General features: G+C 43.5%; 1 protein-coding gene across 47 annotated transcripts in view, besides 2 other annotated features; it reads right to left on the bottom strand.

The window, feature by feature from the left end:
- Nucleotides 1–18,514, bottom strand: part of ERC1 (ELKS/RAB6-interacting/CAST family member 1) — a 505,975-nt gene that overhangs the window by 5,884 nt on the left and 481,577 nt on the right. Inside the window, exon 18 of one of the 47 annotated variants that reach the window (NM_001301248.1) lies at nucleotides 9,152–9,207. The exons of the other annotated variants lie outside the window; for them this stretch is intronic. Within the exon in view, the coding sequence (NP_001288177.1) occupies nucleotides 9,160–9,207 (48 nt within the window). The 3' untranslated portion in view covers nucleotides 9,152–9,159. The remainder of the gene's footprint in view (nucleotides 1–9,151; nucleotides 9,208–18,514) is intronic. 47 annotated transcript variants of the gene reach the window in all.
- Nucleotides 91–1,290: an enhancer, noted in NCBI's record as "BRD4-independent group 4 enhancer chr12:1597926-1599125 (GRCh37/hg19 assembly coordinates)". NCBI's record gives its function as "activates an origin of replication core promoter dependent on BRD2, P300/CBP, MED14 and CDK7 cofactors, and independent of BRD4, by STARR-seq in HCT116 cells {active_cell/tissue: HCT116}" and the evidence as "EXISTENCE:reporter gene assay evidence [ECO:0000049][PMID:35650434]".
- Nucleotides 16,539–16,608: an enhancer, noted in NCBI's record as "active region_5797". NCBI's record gives its function as "activates an Ori minimal core promoter by ATAC-STARR-seq in GM12878 lymphoblastoid cells {active_cell/tissue: GM12878}" and the evidence as "EXISTENCE:reporter gene assay evidence [ECO:0000049][PMID:35858748]".

The raw sequence follows: 18,514 nt of genomic DNA, 5'->3' as shown, positions 1-18,514 counted from the left end.
TTTGCACTGAGCTAAGAATTATTTTTCATCAATAAATGACAAAGGCACTCTGTATGTGAAGTCTCTCTGCATCAAAATTAACCATAAGAAAAGTGTAAAAGCAAATATCAAATGCGTCTTCATGAAAGTGAGGCCCAAAAAGTTAGTCACTGGTTCTAGGCCGAAAGCTGATCATTTTTGCAGAGCTGTGACTTCAGTCCTGGCCTCTCACTGTAAACAGAATGTTCTCTCCACCAAGTCACAGGCTCATGAACGTGCATGAGAGCAGGAGAGAGGGGCATGGTGATCTCAGAGAGGATCCTAACCTTGTGGAGCGACCCTCGCCCTAAGGGAACTTAGAATTTAAAGGACTTCTCCATTTGCCGTGTATCGCTTTCATCCGGTACATTAGCCTACCCACCTGAGGCCTGCTAATTTAGCTGAAGAGATTACTTTGAGAAACACAAGATAATCCCTTTGCTTAGAAGTAAGTATATTTCTAACTTCCTGTTGTTTTTAACAGCCTCTTTCACATTCCTTCAAGCATTTTAACCAACCTTTATTGAGCGCTACTCTGTGCTGGGTGGTGAAAGCTGATGGGATTTGGTCCTTGTCCTGAAGACACATTTAGGTTAATGGAGACAAGCATGTAAACAGATAAACGACCACCCAGCAGAGTGAGGCCGCAGCTGAGGCTTGAGCATGTGCTGTGGCAGCCCTAAGAGTGTCTGCTCACCCTGAGGAGTCTGAGGAAATGCTACTAAAGAGGCGTGGGGTCTGGATCTTCAGAGCTGACTAGAGTCCGTCTGGGAGACCAAAGACAAAGGAGGCTTAGCGCAGAAGAACAAAGGCTGATGCGTGGGGCTGGGACAGGCCTGGCCCAGATCTTGCGAAAAGGGAAGCCTCAGGATGGCAGGAATGTAAGGCACAGGGAGTGGGTGGAGAATGACAGGAAATGGAGCTGAAAACACACGCGAGGGCCAGACTGAGCACGTGAAGTGAGGACGTTCCAGCGTGATCTGCCTAGAAACCAAACCACAACCACAAAAAAGGAGTCCACGCAGTTTTAAATGGTACAGTGACATGAGCATCGCCACTTTCTCAGACTGAGCAGAAGGAAGAGTCCACCAAGGGCAGCTCCTGCTCGCAGCCCAGGTGGGGGTTAGGCAAGGCTGATGCAAGGGAGGGCCAGGGACGTGGAAAGGAACACACAGGTCTGAGCCTCTTCAAAAGGCAGGACTAAAAGGAGGAGGTGTCAAGTGAGGGAGAACTGGAGAATCATTTCTGACAATTCTAGCTGGGGATATTGGACAAATAAGACCAAGAACGAAGGAGACAGCAGGTTTTAGGAAAGAAAGGAGGAAAATTAAAAATGGAATATAAAGTCTAGTTAAGAACATAGGCTCTGGAGTTAGGCTGCCTGGGTTTCAAGGTCAGTTCTGCCGATCAGTTCATCTGACCTTGACTTGTCTGAGTCTCAGTTTCCTCATCTGTAAAATGAGGCAATAATAACCATGTCAGGCCAATGTTTTAAATTTTAATTTTTTGGAGAGATGGGAGTCTATATTGCCTACGCTTGTCTTGAACGCCCAGGCTCAAGTAATCCCGCCTCTGCCTCGGCCTCCCAAAGTGCTTACAGTCGTGAGCTCCTGTGCCCTACCTTATAGGGCTGTTTTAAGGATTTAATGAGATAGTCATATAAAGTGCTTGACAAATATTAGGTGTTCTAACTGTTACTAAATGGGTAAGATCACCCAGCAAGAGCATACAGATTAAAAAGCAAAAAGGGAGCTGCGTACAGTGGTGCATGCCTGTAATCCCAGCTACTTGGGAGGCTGAGGGTGGGGGAATCGCTTGAGCCCAGGAGTTTGAGTCCAGCCTGGGCAAGGTAGTGAGACCCCATCTATCTTTTTTTTTTTTTTTTTTTTTTCTGAGACGTGAGTCTCGCTCTGTCACCCAGGCTGGAGTGCAGTGGCGCGATCTCAGCTCACTGCAACCTCCGCCTCCCAGGTTCGTGCCATTCTCCTGCCTCAGCCTTCCGAGTACCTGGGACTACAGGCGCCTGCTACCACGCCCAGCTAATTTTTTATATTTTTAGTAGAGACAGGGCTTCACCGTGTTAGCCAGAATGGTCTAGATCTCCTGACCTTGTGATCCGCCCGCCTCGGCCTCCCAAAGTGTTGGGATTACAGGCCTGAGTCACCGCGCCTGGCCTTTTTCTCTCTTTCCTTTCTTTTCTTTTCTTTCTCTCTCTCTCTCTCGTTTCTTTTCTTTCCTTCTTTTCTTCCTTCCTCCCTCCCTCCCTCCCTCCTTGCCTCCTACCCTTCTCCTCTCTCTCTCTTTCTATTAATTTGAGACAGGGTCTCCCTCTATTGTCTGGGGGGAGTGCAATGGTTTGATCAGGCTCACTGTGGCCTCGACCTCCTGACCTCATGTGATCTTCCTGCTGCAGCCTCTTAAGTAGCTGGGATTACAGATGTGTACCACCATGCCTGGCTAATTTTTGTATTTCTCTTTTCTTTTTCTTTTTTAGAGGTGCGGTCTAACTATGTTGCCCAGGCTGGTCTTGAACTCCTGGCCTCAAGGGATCCTCCTGCCTCGGCCTCCTAAAATGTTGAGATTACAGGTGTGAGCCACCACACCCAGCTGAGATTCCATCTTAAAACAGGCAAAAAAAAAAAAAAAAAAAAAAAAAAAATCTAGATGCTTGGCACCATAAGACAGGGCAAGAAAAAGAAAAGAAAGAATCTAGATGCTCTGAGTCAAGAATGAGCACAGTGCTTCTTAAATATATCAAAGAGTTAAGAATAGACCTAGCAATCTTCCTTCTGCTAAATGCTGACTAAAAGACCAGGACACTGAGGGGCCCGATTTAGACCACGCGGCCTTGGTGCACCCCAAACTCTGGCTGTGTCACATGAGTAAGAATCTCTTCAACGGGGAAAGCTAGGAGGCTGGGTACCTTGTAAATACAGCTGCAGAGAAAACAACCCAGGAATGCTGCTAAGTGAAAAGGCTACAGACCCTAAAGTCTCAGCAGAACTGACATCAACCAAGCTACAGAAAAGGTTATGGGGTGGTGTTGCTTCAGTATCTTGATTCCAGCTGGATCCTTCCCAGGAATATTCCAGACAATTCTAGTTTATATTCTGAGCCAGGTAACTCTTCTTCAGTCTCTACAAGTCACTTATTTATTTCCCATGAAATAGTCTTTATTCTAATTGGGCTTCTGTTATGTTAAGTAGATAATCATGAAGTTACTGAAGGATATAATTTAGTTTAAGAACATTTTTTTCAGGAGTTTTCCGCAATTTAAAAAGTGCTTCACAGCCGGGAGTGATTTCACAGCCGGGTGCGGTGGCTCACGCCTGTAAACCCAGCACTTTGGGAGGCCGAGGTGGGCGGATCCCTTGAGGCCAGGAGTTCAAAACCAGCCTGGCCAACACGGCAAAACCCCGTCTCTACTAAAAATACAAAAAATAGCTGGGCATGCTGGCACGTGCCTGTAGTCCCAGCTACTCGGGAGGCTGAGGCATGAGAACTGCATGAAACTGGGAGGCGGAGGTTGCAGTGAGCCGAGATCGTGCCACTGTACTCCAGCCTGGGTGACAGAGCAAGACTCTTATCTCAAAAATAAAATAAAATAAAATAAAGTAAAAAGTGCTTCACAAATATTGTAAAAACTTTCGAAAATAAAGAAAAAAAAACAAGAAAAAAATCACCTAGAATATTACCATCATCTAGAGATAACCACTGCTATATATTTTATCATGCATTACTTGAGGCTTTATGTATGTGTGTATTTGTGTGTATAACACATTTCCAAACAAATCCTAAAGGTTCTTTTTGGAATTTGATAATGGAGTCTAACATTTATACTGAAGTATAAATATAGAGAAGAGTCAAGAAAATATTTTAAAGAAAGAAGAGTGATGTTAAGACTTGCTTTACCAAACAAAACATGCCATAAAAGTACAATAATTAGAAGAGTGTTGGGTTGATACCATTAAATGACTGGGATTTAGGATATGACCAGGAAGCATATGAAGTCAATGAACTGTACGGGGTCAACTAGGCCCATTTATGGTTGTATTCTTGCTTATACCATACAGCAACATAAATTCCAAACTGGTTAAAGATGTATATTTAAAACCTATGCTGTGAAAACACTGAAAGTAAATTTAAGAGCATATTTTTTATAATCTTGGGATGGGAGACAGAAAAGTATTTTTAGCTTTATTTTGGAGAGGAGGGTAAGTGCTTTTAAATTCAGAAGTCATAAAGGAATAAAAGGGTAAGTTGGGCTATTTAGAAATTTAAAATGTCTGTATAGAGACAGAAGAGCTATACATTTAATTGAAGTACAAATGACGGCTTGAAAGACATAATAAACACAAAACAAAAAGACAAAGGATTGACATTACTGTATTATGAAGTGGTACCATAAGCCTAAAAACCTATAACCTAATAGAAAAACAGGCAGAGAATATGAACAAAAAACTCACAGAAGAAATACAAATGGCTAACAAACACAAAAATAATACCCAATTTCATTAATAATTAAATATGGCCAGATGCAGTGGCTCACGCCTGTAATCCCAGCACTTTAGGAGGCCAAGGTGGGCAGATCACAAGGTCAGGAGTTCAAGACCAGCCTGGCCAATGTGGTGAAACTCTGTCTCTACTAAAAATACAAAAACTAGCCAGGCGTGGTGGCGGGCGCCTATAATCCCAGCTACTTGGGTGGCTGAGGCAGAAGAATTGCTTGAATCCAGGAGGTGGAGGTTGCAGTGGGCTAAGATCACGCCACTGCACTCCAGCCTGGGTGACAGAGCGAGACTCTGTCTCAAAAAAAAAAAAAAAAAAAAAGAAATATAAACTTGACCAGGTTTGGGGACTCACACCTGTAATCCCAGCACTTTGGGAGGCTGAGGCAGGCAGATCACTTGAGCCTAGGAGTTCAAGACCAGCCTGCGCAACACAGCGAGACCCCATCTCTACAAAAAACTAAAACAAAAAAATTAGTCAGGTGTGGTTGTGCGTGCCTCTAGTTCTAGCCGCTCTGGAAGCTAAGGTGGGAGGAACTCTTGAGCCCAGGAGGTTGAGGCTGCAATGAGCTATGTGATTGTATTGCTGCACTCTAGCCTGCGCAACACAGCGAGACCCTGTCTCAAAAAAAGAAAAACAAGACCCAGCACGGTGGCTCACGCCTGTAATCCCAGCACTTTGGGAGGCTGAGGTGGCAGGCGCATCACGAGGTCAAGAGTTCGAGACCAGCCTGACTAGCATGGTGAAACCCCATCTCTACTAAAAAAAATACAAAAAATTAGCCGGGCATGGTGGCGTGCACCTGTAGTCCCAGCTACTCAGGAGGCTGAGGCAGGAGAATTGCTTGAGCCCGGGAGGCGGAGCTTACAGTGAGCCGAGATCACGCCACTGCACTCCAGCCTGGGCGAGAGCAAGACTCCATCTCAAAAAAAAAAAAAAGGAAAAGAAAAACTCAAAACAAACAAACGAACAAGAAATATAAACTACAGAGTTGGCTAGGGCATGGGAAGTGGGAACAGCAGAGCAACGACCTGTGGGACAATTGTAGGGAGGTGAGCAATTTGGTCTCATCAGCCAAATTTAATTGTATATGTCCTTTGACCAAATAATTCTACTTTTAGAGTATGTTCAACAGAAACACCAGTAAGAAATTTAAGAACGTATGTACAAGTATGTTTACTAAGGCAATTTGTAGGAACAAAGAATTTTTTTTTTTTTTGAGACGGAGTCTCGCTCTGTCACCAGGCTGGAGTGCAGTGGTGCGATCTCGGCTCACTGCAAGCTCCACATCCCAGGTTCACACCATCCTCCTGCCTCAGCCTCCCGAGTAGCTGGGACTACAGGTGCCCGCTACCACGCTCGGCTAATTTTTTGTATTTTTAGTAGAGATGGGGTTTCACCATGTTAGCCAGGAAGGTCTTGATCTCCTGACCTCGTGATCCGCCCGCCTCAGCCTCCCAAAGTGCTGGGATTACAGGCGTGAGCCACCACGCCCGGCTGGAACAAAGATTTTTTAAAGACCTCATTGAAGCTGGGCGCAGCGGCTCACGCCTATAATCCCAGCACTCAGGGAGGCCGAGGCAGGTGGATCACGTGAGGTCAGGAGTTTGAGGCCAGCCTGGCCAAAATGGTGAAACCCCGTCTCTACTAAACATACAAAAAAAATCGGTCACATGTGGTGGTGAGTGCCTGTAGTTCCCAGGTACTCGGGAGGCTAAGGCACAAGAAAAGCTTGAACCCCAGAGGCGGAGGTTGCAGTAAGGCGAGATCGCGCCACTGCACTCCAGCCTGGGTGACAGAGCAAGACTCTGTCTCCAAAAAAAAAAAAAAAAAAAAAAAAAAAAAAAAAAAAAAGCTCTCAGTGGCTGGAAGGAGTTTTGATTTTACTTTTACTTTACATACTTCTGTACTGTTTATAGCACAAGCAACATCAATTTTGCAATAAGAAATATACCAAAATATATAACATAAATACCTTTTAAAACTGTATATACTTTTAAAGGCATAATTCTGATACTCTACGACCTTAAGAAGGGAAAAATTGAAGTGTATAAAATATCCACTCAAAAAGTATTAACCAACTGGCCAATAAAAAGGAACGAAGTTCTGACACGTGACATTATGTAAAGCTACACTATGTAAAGTATATAAAAACATTACATTAAATGAAAGAAGCCGGTCTCAACAGACCACGTCTTGTATGATTCTATTCTTTTTTTATTTTTGAGACAGGGTCTCATTCTGTTGCTCAGGCTGGAGTGCAGTGTCAGGATCTCAGCTCACTGCAACCTCCACCTCCCAGACTCAAGTGATCCTCCTGCCTTAGCCTCCCAAGTAGCTGGGACTATATGCACATGCCACTACACCTGGCTAATTTTTGTATTTTTTTGTAGAGATGGGGTTTTGCCATGTTGCCCAGGCTGGTCTCGAACTCCTGGGCTCAAGCGATCTGCCCACCTTGGTCTCCCAAAGTGCTGGGATTACAGGCGTGAGCCACCATGCCCAGCCTGATTCCATTCTTGATGAAATTCCAGAGTAGCCAAATCCAGAGTTGGGAAGTAAGAGTGGCAGCTGCTTGGGGCTGGGGTAGGATGGGGTGATTGGCAGTGACTGCTAATAGGTGGGGGCTTCCCTTTGGGGTGACAAAAATGTTCAAAAATTGACTATGGTGATGGCTGCACAACTCTGAGAACACACTAAATCTACTGAATTATGTACTTGCAATGGGTGAGTTGTATGTATGTAAATTATATCTCAGTAAAACTATAAAAAAATTGGCCAGGTGCAGTGGCTCACGCCTGTAATCCCAGAACTTTGGGAGGCCGAGGCAGGTGGATCACTTGAGATCAGGAGTTCGAGACCAGCCTACCCAACATGGTGAAACCCCGTCTATCAAAAATACAAAAAAATTAGCCGGGCGTGGTGGCAGGTGCCTGTAATCCCAGCTACTCAGGAGGCTGAGGCAGGAGAATCACTTGGACCCAAGAGGTGGGTGTTGCAGTGAGCCGAGATCGCGCCAGTGCACTCCAGCCTGGGAGACAAGAGCGAAACTCCATCTCAAACAAACAAAAAAAACACAAACAAAAAAACTCTTTAAAAAATTGACTGAGTGCTCTATGCAAAACACTGTGTAGTAACTGCCACAAATAGGTAGAGATAAAATGCTACTGCCTTCAGTAGTCTGGACAGAAAGGAAGGCAGGGTTGGGGGGGTGGGTATTTTCTTGACAGCAGGGGACAGAAAATGGTCAGTTCAAATGGAAACACAGTATGAGGTGAGGCACAAAGGAGGAAAGGCACTGGGCTGCTCACTGCAATTCTGGAGCACAGGAATCGCCGGATCTTGATGGAAGCGATTCCAGCTCTTCAAGAGAGACAAAGGCCCCCGGGCTGGCCAGACATGGGCATCACTCCTCAGCAGACCGCCATTCCATTACACAGTTTCAGCGAGGCCACACCTAAGGGCACTGTGTTCCGTTTCAGACACCTCATTACCAGAAAAATTGAGACAAACTGGAGTAAGTTCAAAGAAAAATGGCAGCATGACTAAGAAGCTGAAAGAATCATTTTATGGGCAGGATTAGAAAACCTAAACATGGAGACCCGAACTAAGTAAAAACAAAGGGCAGGGAAATGTGATTATTACCTACACATGCCAGGAGGGTGTAAACAAGAAGGGGGACAGTGATTTAGCGCTGGAGGAGGAAGTATAACAAGAAATGGTGGAATAAGATTAAGGAGAAAAAAAAACCAGAGGCAGACTACAAGGCTACGCTTTTCCAGGGTCTAACGTATGCTATGCCTGGGAAAAGGTGTTTAAAAATAGAGGGAATCACAGAATCGAAAAGTTTAGAGAAGGAAGTGTTCCTTCACTAGCTGGAGTTGCTTTCCATCTGGGAGGCCTTTCTCTGTTCTCCAGGGATTAGGCATGGTTCAAATTTTATCTGAAAGCAGTATTACATGTGGGCACAGCTGAGCAGGGACAGATTTCATTGGCGCTTGATCCATTCTATTTTTTCTTGGCTTGAAAGAATCTCAAGGATCAACTTCTCTTGTGTAACCGTGATTACTTTTAAAATGCGACTTTTATTTTGTTGACTTTGATTGTAAAGCTTTAGTCATTCTGAAGTCAAAGGAGTACAGGCATGTGTTGTTAAAACTTTTAGATTGCTTAGGAAAGAGAGGCGATGTGAAGAAAGCAAACTAAAAACTTAGATCAATGTGTTATACAGCACAGGTGCGAAAGCACAACCTGAAATGGATTATTCACAACCTCCTTATACTAAAATACGGCGGCGCCCCCTTGTCCATGGTTTCCCTTTCCACGGTTTCAATTACCCTCAGTCAACTGCGATCTGGAAATATTAAATGGAAAATTCCAGAAATAAACAATTCATAAGTTTTACAGTGCATGCTGTTCCGAGTATTGTTATAACTGTCCTATTTTATTATTAATCTCTTACTGTGCCTAATTTATAAACTAGACTTTATCTCAGGTATATATGTATAGAAGAAAACAGCATCTATAGGCTTCAGTACCATCCACAGTTTCAGCATCCACTGGGGAGCTTGCAACAGACTGCCCAGAGTAAGGGGGACGTCTGGGGGCGTCTGCATTTCCTTACCATGAGCATCACATGAAAAAAGGCAGTTTTTCCATGGCTTTGGGATGCAACGGATTCTGTGGATAAGTTGGGAAAGATGTATTTTAGTGTCTGAAACTTCCCCTAAAAGGTATTACTCGAGATATTCTTGCTCTCTTCAACCCCCTGCCCACTACCCACACCCCCTCCCACACCTGCTTATCTTCCTCACCTCCTCAAGGCAGGCCCCTTTAGGCTTAAAACCAGAAAAGAATTTCCGAAAGAATACAAATTAAATTGTGACTTAATGAAAGTGCTCATTACATTCTAGTTACCATGAATTGATTCCTTCTTTCCCCTTCCATTTATTGCCTTGTTAAGACTACAAATCCAAACGCAGTAATGTAAGGAGGAGTAATCCAATGAGATTTTCCATTTCCCATTCTCCATTTTCTAATACTGGCAAGTAATCCCACCACTGCAACTATTACAGTGAAAAATACTGGCTTCTTGGTTACTTTCTTAGAAACACCATAATTACGGGCAGCACTGAAGTTTACCCAATCAGCTCCCTAGATGTGCAGATGCCATCTTCTGTGCGTGTGCTGAAAACCTTGTATCTAAAAACAAACAATAACAAAACATCGAAAAACACTTCCAGAGTAAACCGATTTTCACTAAACTGCAAAACAAGTTTGCTCCCATGAATTCTGCCAGCCCTTTCTATAACTTAAGCACGAAGTCTCATATCTCAGCACCTTAGTTTCCTCCATATATAGTATTTCTACTACAAAATATTCCTCAAGCCTCCTGGGCACTGCAAGATTTTATTTAAAAAAAAAAAAAAAGCCCCTTTCCACCAAACCTTACTTTAACCAAGATACTCTGGAGGAAAGGACTGTTGGAATGACACATGTACAAGTATACACCTTCGGTAGAGAAAATGGAACATGCTTTGTTAAAATAACATGTGCTGTATTCCAGGGGCTTAGAGGTGTGGATGAGGACAGGCGTGAGGGCAGCAGGGCTTGCTGCTGCTCTCAGTGCAAAGGGCACGGCTCACGACAGCTCCGTGCTGTTGACTACGTGGGCACCCGGGGAGTCTGGATCCGTCCTGCCTCAGAGTGACCCCACCTGGCTTCTCCAGGCGAGCAGGGTTCCACACGCCTCAGGAGCACCCACACTCCTGAGCTAACTCTCCATGTCTCTGTCCCTTCAGTGAACTCTGTTTCCAACCCCTCCCTTGGTTTTTCACTATGGCTTCTGAGGGCACTGAATCCTGCCCGTCCTGAAAAGACTTTTGGAATCTGCATCTCACAAGCTAGTAGCAACTTTTCTCTTCCTGTAACCAAATTTCTCAAAAGAATAGTCTACATGTGTTACCTGCATTTCTGAGTTCTCTCCTTAATAACTGAGAATTTAGTTTCTGCTATTTCACTGAAATTGCCCTCTCGAAAGATTACAGAAGCCTCTATATTGAAACCATAAAATATTTGGAGAAGTTAAAATGTCTTAAATGGAGGAATAAACATGATTAAGGATTGGAAGCCTCATTTCTGTAAAGGTGTGAATTCTGCCTCAACTAATCTATACAGTCGATGCAAGCCATATCAAAACTGGCAGGTGTGTATGTGAATAGACGAGCTGATTCCAAAGAGTAAGTGGAAATGCAGAGAGCCCAGAACAGCCAAGACGGCCACCAAGAACAAAGCTATACAAATGCTCCTCTCTGGAAGAAGGCTGTCACTGCAAGGCGGCAGCAATGCACACACATAGCACTGGCACGAGAGCAGACACACAGACCAATGGGACGAAAAGAGAACACGGAAAAACCCTACACGTATATGGCCACTTGACTGTGCACTGGGAAAAGATGGTCTTTCTGATAAATGGTGGGGCTATATGCAAAACACATTTGGATTTCTACCTCATGCCATTAACAAAAATCAATTCATGATGAATACATATATAAATGTGAAGGGTAAAACAATAAAGCATTTACAAGAAAATGTAAGAGACCATCTTTAGGGAATGTAAAGATTTCTTAAACAGAACACAAAAAGCAATAATCACAAAGAGAAAAAATTGATAAACTGGATCTACATTAAAATTAAGGATTTCTGTCTCTCTCTCTCTCTCTCTTTTTTTTATTGAGACAGAGTCTCACTCTGTCGCTCAGGCTGGAGTGCAGTGGTGCGATCTTGGCTCACTGCAAGCTCCACATCCCGGGTTCACACCATCCTCCTGCCTCAGCCAAGTAGCTGGGACTACAGGCGCTCGCCACCACGCCCGGCTAGTTTTTTGTATTTTTAGTAGAGACGGGGTTTCACCGTGTTAGCCAGGATGGTCTCGATCTCCTGACCTCGTGATCCACCCGCCTCGGCCTCCCAAAGTGCTGGGATTACAGGCGTGAGCCACCGCGCCCGGCCGGATTTCTGTCTCTTAAAAGACACCATTAAGAGAGTGAAAGGGCAGTCCACAGGAGAAGATACATATCTGATGTATGCATATCCATAATATATAAAGAACTCCTATAAAGCAGTAACAACAGTTAATAATGAAAAATAGGCAAGACACTTGAATGACCACAAGAGTATACTGAAATGGTTAACAGACATATAAAAAGGTGGATAACTCATTAGTCATCAGGAAAATACAAGTTAAAATCACAAGGAGATACCACTAAATGACCACCAGAATGGCTAAAATTTAAAAAGACAGACAGTATCAAGTGCTGACAAGGACGTGGAACCACTTGGCCTCTCCTACACTCCCGGTGGGAGTGTAAATGGCCATAACCACTTTAGAAAAACATCTGGCAGTATCTACTAAAGTTGAATGCCAAGCTGAACAAGTGGACTTGTAGGTACATGTAAATTCACCTGAAGACACTGATAAGAGTATTAAAACCTGGGAACAACCCAAATGTCCATACTGAATGATAAACAGACGATAAACAATTTGTGGCACATTCATACAATGGAATATCATAGAGCAATGAGAATGAATGAACTATATGTATAACAAAACAGATACAATTCGTAAACATGATGTTGAATGACAGAATCCAGACACAATAGAGTATGGTATGATTCCAGGCATAGAAAGTTTAAAAACAGGCAGAACTAATCTGTGGTGTTTGAGGTCAGGTTATCCTTGGAGGATGAGGAGTGACTGGAAGGAGGATGACAAGGGGCTTCGGCACTGGTAACATTCTGCTGCTTGTTCCAAGAATTTGCTATATGAGTGTGTAATTCAGCTATATACATAGGATTTGTTTACTTTTCTGTATGCAAGTTATAATTTCAAAACTTCAGAAAAAAACCCATCAAGGACCCCCAAGGATTATCTAACTGTACGATCCAATCTGACCCTGAAAACACCTGCTAGGCTGTCTGCCCTAGAGGCCCCCAACACCCACATGTTTCTGGCTCTCCTCTGCCTGCCCCAACATTTCTTCCCTGTCCTGGTGTTGTTCTTCTTTCTGCTCAGTCTCACACGTGCAGGGGTTTCCTGAGGTCTAAGGAGACTGTCCACTGTTCTCTCTTAGATCCTCTGCTTAGCGAAATGTGTTTACCTTTAGCTTTAAAAGGGGGGAGGGTGATAATAACAGCAACTAACTTACTGGGCATTTATTATGGGCCAAGTATTATTCTAAGTGCTTTAGTGATTAACACATTTAATCCACTTTCTTTCAAATTTATTTCTTTTGAGGTAGGTGTTCTTTAAATTTTTTTTTAATCACAGAAAATATCACATGTATAATAACTAGCATAATAACTCTTCTATGTCCCTCATCTAAACATAACCATTATGAAGGTGGATCTACACAATTATAACTCTAGCTTCTTTTTCTACTGAGTTTCAGACTCACATCTTTCCAGTGCCTGATAAACATCTCTTGGTGAATGTTCCCTTTACACATCAAATCATACTGTTCATACTATTTACTGAATTGTTCTTTTCACCCAATAATTAAACAGCTTTTCATGTGATAAAATATTCTTCTAAAATAATTTATAATGGGCTGCATTGTAATCCATTTTATTAATATATTGTAATTTATTTAACTCCAATAGACATTTAGTTTGTTCTCGTTTTCATTACTATAAATATTAATGTATTACATTTTCCCATACATAAATCTTTGCATGTCTATGATTTTCTACTTAAAATTCCCGAGTCAAAGGGTATAGACCTGTGTAAAGCTTTTGACAAGTAACCAGACCATTCTAGAATAGCTGTACTGATATTCAGCCCATAAGCAAGAAATAAGGGTGCCATTTTCCCACTCTCTGAACATACTGGGGACTCCAACAAACCAACCAATCCCAACCTTCCCAGTATGACAGCACTGTTTTCATTCGTAGTTCTTCCCATCTGTAGTGAAGCCAAAAACTGGGGTAAAACATTAAAAAATATATATTTATTGGCCACTTCTTCTGTGAGTTTCCTATTAATGCTCTTTCCAGATCATGTTTCTTCTAATTTAGTTTTTTCTTTCTTTTTTTTCTTTTGAAGAGAAAGAGTCTTGCTCTGTTGCCCAGGCTGGAGTTCAGTGGAGTGATCATAGCTCACTGTAACCTCTAACTCCTGGCCTCAAGTGATCCTCCTGCATCAGCTTCCCGAGTAGCTAGGGCTACAGGAGAGTGCCACCACGCCTGGCTAAGTTTTTTTTTTTTTTTGAGATGGAGTCTTGCTCCGTCGCCCTGGCTGGAGTGTAGTGGCGTGATCTCAGCTCATTGCAATCTCTGCCTCCCGGGTTCATGCCATTCTCCTGCCTCAGCCTCCTGAGTAGCTGGGACCACAGGTGGCCCCAGGCTAATTTTTAAAATATTTTTAGTAGAGACGGGGTTTCACTGTGTTAGCCAGGATGGTCTCGATCTCCTGACCGTGTGATCCACCCACCTCGGCCTCCCAAAGTGCTGGGATTACAGGCATGAGTCACCTTGCCCAGCCTTTTTTTTTTTTTTAAAGAGATGACATCTCACTATGTTGCCCAGGCTGCTCTTCAACTCCTGGCCTTAAGCAATCCTCCCACTTCAGCCTCCCATAATGTTGAAATTACAGGTGTGAGCCACCACATCTAGCCTAGTTTTTTCATTTCCGATATCCTTGTTAACAATCCTAATTCAAGCTCTCATGTTCTACCATCTTGCAATAGCTTCATAACTACTTCAACCCTGGTGTAAGAGTAATCTTTCTAAAATAGGCTGGAACAGTTCCCTCCTCCTCTTCCAACATCTTAAATGATTTCCTTCCTACAAAATAAAAGACTAAGCTTTTTGGCATGGGAGCTACTGCTTCAATTTCATCTCCTGGTACATACCTGCCATTCCCTGTCTTTGCTTTTCCTTTCCTCTCATTCTAGAATGTGGACAATCTTACTTCCTACACATCTTTCTTCTCTATCTTTCTTATCCTTCACGGTTGAGCCCCTTTTCTCTGTAATGCCATCCCTGGTTAGAAGTGTAAACTGCTACAGTATTCATTTTGTCCCCTTTCAATAGTTGGTTTTATGTTTAATTCCCCAACTGTTCTTCAAGCTCCTTGGTGAATTCTTTTTTGTATACCAATATTGCCTCGTAACAAAAGGCCTGCACGTAGCAGACAATCTGAAAATGGTGAATGAAATAAAGGAATAGATATTAATTCTGGGGAAAGGCCTCGATAATGTTCTAAAGAGCTATTTAAGTTCAAATTTGAAGCATGTCCAAACCAAAACAATCTGATGATACAGGCCCTTTGGTAGACAGCAGGGCACATAAACCATACAGTGTAGCACTCCACTGTGTTTAAAGTTCTTAAGGGATGGAATACGGGACAAGTATAGGATACGAAGGTGGCCTCTGGCAGAAATTCTCTGGCTTTTTTGTGTGTTGAATGTTATTAAAATGCATTCTGTTCTTAGTAGCTGTTCCAGCCCTCCCTGAACTCAGAGTAGTAATATGATTTCTAGAGGGACTTGAGCCAAGAATCACAAATGCAAGAGCAACTCAATCTGAATGCTCAAAGCAACACAGGCTGGAAGCGTATGCAGCAGAGGGAAGGGGAGAATGCCTCACCCTACCACTGTGCAGGGAAGAAACGAACGGAGGAAGCTCAGCAGAGCGGGAACATTTCAGAGATGAGGCTCTCCAAGCATATGGCAGACAAAAGCATGGTTACGACTGGCTACAGGGAAAACCACTCAGGCCCCCTTCCCTCTTTGAGTGTTAGGATAACTGCCAGAGAACAAGCTGACAGTCTAAAGAATAAGGAATGCGAGGGGGCTGAATGGAGAAAGAGAAGCAGAGCTGAGGGGCGGGCTGCTTGATTCAGGGAGACTGCCCCAAACATTTACCGCTCAGCACAAGTCATGATTTTAGAACAGAAACAACATTTTCTCTCTAGTAAAGATGTTAGAGAGAGCTACCAGAACTCCGTGAAATAAATTTGTAAAAGAGAAAATACAGTTAAAAGTTCTGTGGACTTGGCCTGATTTCAAGGTAAACAACTCTATTCATAGTCACAAAGCATGAGGTGAAAGGGAGGATGTATTGATGGGTATAAAGAAGGGACGGTTACAAGAGGGGTCAGTGAATGAATTCCTCTGTGGTTGGCAGTGACTCAGATTAATTCCTTTCTGCAGATGGTTTGGTGGAGGGCAGGAAATTATTCAGAAATGCCTAGTTTGGTTTAAGCAGACAAGAATCTAAACTTGAGGTTCTAACAGCTAAGTCCCAGGATGTGTCACAGGCCATGAGGTCTGAGCTGTAATCTGGCATGATGTTCGGAGCCTTTTGGAGCTGACAGATCAAGTGGAAATGGTGCTCGTCCTGGCCAGGTCTGGCCCACAAGCCCCTAACTTGAATCTGCAGGCTTCTTAGGAGATACGAAGACATAAAATAACTTCCTAGTTTGGAATTTCACACAACTGGAATAAATGGAAATGTATTTTGCCGTAAGAGCATCTATTGAATAAGACATAAAACTTACACAGTCAGAGGGATCTGGAATCCCTCTAACCCTCTACAATCCCTCTAAACCTCAATCTTTTTTGCCCAGGGATCTATTTTTCTACAGGCATCTGGTCACTTCTTGACTCTACAGAATCCCTTTAGCACTTAGTACCAGGGAAAACTAAAATTGCTCTTGAAGAATTTATCCTATGTTTATTTCCCACTCATTAAAGTTAACTCCAAAGTCCTCTTTCCTTTCAAGTCTGCACTTGCAGAGACTGTGCAAGTGGGCCGGAAGTGGTAATGGCTGTGAGGCTGCTGTGGGGACTTCTCCTTCTCCCTCCCTGTCCTTTTTTTTTTTTTTTTTTTTGAGATAGAGTCTCACTCTGTCCCCCAGGCTGGAGTGCGGTGGCGAGATCACAGCTCACTGCAGCCTGGAACTCCTGGGCTCAAGTGATCTTCCTGCCTTAGACCGCTGAGTAGCCGGGACTACGGGTGCGCACCATCACACCCAGCTCCCCTTCCTACTTTGTGATGAACTCCCTTGCCAGGCAATGTATGAATTTGTTTTTACAGGAAGGAAAGGCTGTTGCTTAGACCAAAAGTAAATAAGATGTTACTGCTCTCCCATAACTAACTTTGAACAAAATGGCATAATAAAAACGAGAGTTTGGGCCGGGCGCAGTGGCTCACACCTGTAATCCCAGCACTTTGGGAGGCCAAGGTGGGTGGATCACGAGGTCAGGAGTTCAAGACCAGCCTGATCAACATGGTGAAACCCTGTCTCTACTTAAAAAAATACAAAAATTAGCTGGGCATGGTGGTGCGTGCCTGTAATCCTAGCTACTCAGGAAGCTGAGGCAGGAGAACTGCTTGAACCCAGGAGGCGGAGGTTGCAGTGAGCTGAGATCGCACCACTGCACTCCAGCCTGGGCAACAGAGTGAGACTCCTTCTCAGAAAAACAAACAAAAAACAACAAGAGTTTGGCTCCATTCGGGTCTGTCTATCCAAAGTCAAAATTCCACTGCTTAACAATTTGATAGTTCACAGTCATCTCCTCCAGATTCAAGTGGTGATATAAAGGGACTTCCTCCTTTCTTTCCCTCATGATAGAAGATGAGATTCCCTGGATGGGAGGGAAACTCAAGTATGTAATTACTTTCTTGTATTATCAACAACACTTTATGCCTGGCATGTAATAAGTGTTCATTAAGTATTTACTGAGTGAATGCTAGCCATATGCCTTAGGGTAGCTAGATTTATCTTCCTTCCTCCCTCCTTCCCTTCCTTCCTTTTTTCCTTTTCTTTCTCCCTTCCTTCCTTTTCTCTTCTCTTTTTTTTTTTCTTTTGAGACAGGGTTACACTCTGTTGCCCAGGCTGGAGTGCAGTGGTGTGATCACGGCTCACTGCAATCTCTACCTCTTGGGCTGAAGTGATTCTCTCACCTCAGCTTCCCGAGTGGCTGGGACTACAGCGAAATGCCAGCACACCCCACTAATTTTAAATTTTTTTTGTAGAGAGGAGGTCTCACTATGTTGCCCAGACTGGTCTTGAACTCCTGGCCTCAAGCAATCCTCCCACCTTGGCTTCCCAAAGTGCTGGGATTATAGTGGGGAGCCACTGTGCTTGGCCTAGATTTTTTAATGTTAGGTCATCACATATTTCTGCCATTCATTTTCAAAGGTTAAAAACAAAACAAAAACAAATCAAGAGCTTCTCTGCTTCCCAGCTATGGCACTGAAAACTCTGCAACTGCACTGGCAGCCCCCAGCCCTAAAAGAAATAAAACAGTTAAGATTTCTAGTGAATCTATATAAAAACATAAATTATCATTTAGTTTTCTACCCTGTCCCCTATCCCCGACCTGCAGCTCAGGCAAATACCCAACAATGGAACAACGAGACCTACAAATGCTACACCCAAAACAGGCCAATTCTGAAATTTAGACTCATCAGCCCGGAAGGGAGCTACAGGAACTACTAGTCCCATTCTCTAACCTTACAAGTAAGACAGCTGAGGTCTCAAGAGGTACAGGGCCAGGTACACAGGTTAGACTGATAGATCTATCTGTTGTAGGAAAACTTAATATGTATCTATCACGCCTGGCCAGTGGTTAGTGGATCAGGCTCTACTGCATCCAGGTGCACAAGCTCTCCATGGAGAAAAAGAGGAAGTCTCCCCTACCTGAGAGGAAAGCTTTACAAGGAATCTGGTCTTGCTAGCTGTCAGACCTCTTCCAGCTGTCACCACTCACAGTTGTTTATTATTCTTTGCAAGGTTAGAGTCAACCATTATTTTGTGAAAGTCAACAACTGAGAGACCAAGTAACCCCAGCAAAGGTGGACAAATGAATTGGGTCAGTGGCAATCTACAGGACCAAGAAACACGTGTTGCTAACACCTGTCACTCCAAATTAACCTCCTCATGTACAGCAGGAGCTGGAACCACGCACTACAATAGATA

The sequence above is a fragment of the Homo sapiens genome, chromosome 12 (assembly GCF_000001405.40).
Source record: "Homo sapiens chromosome 12, GRCh38.p14 Primary Assembly".
Lineage (NCBI taxonomy): Eukaryota > Metazoa > Chordata > Mammalia > Primates > Hominidae > Homo > Homo sapiens.
Note: the sequence above shows the minus strand (reverse complement) of the source record. Positions and strands in the feature narration are given on the sequence as shown.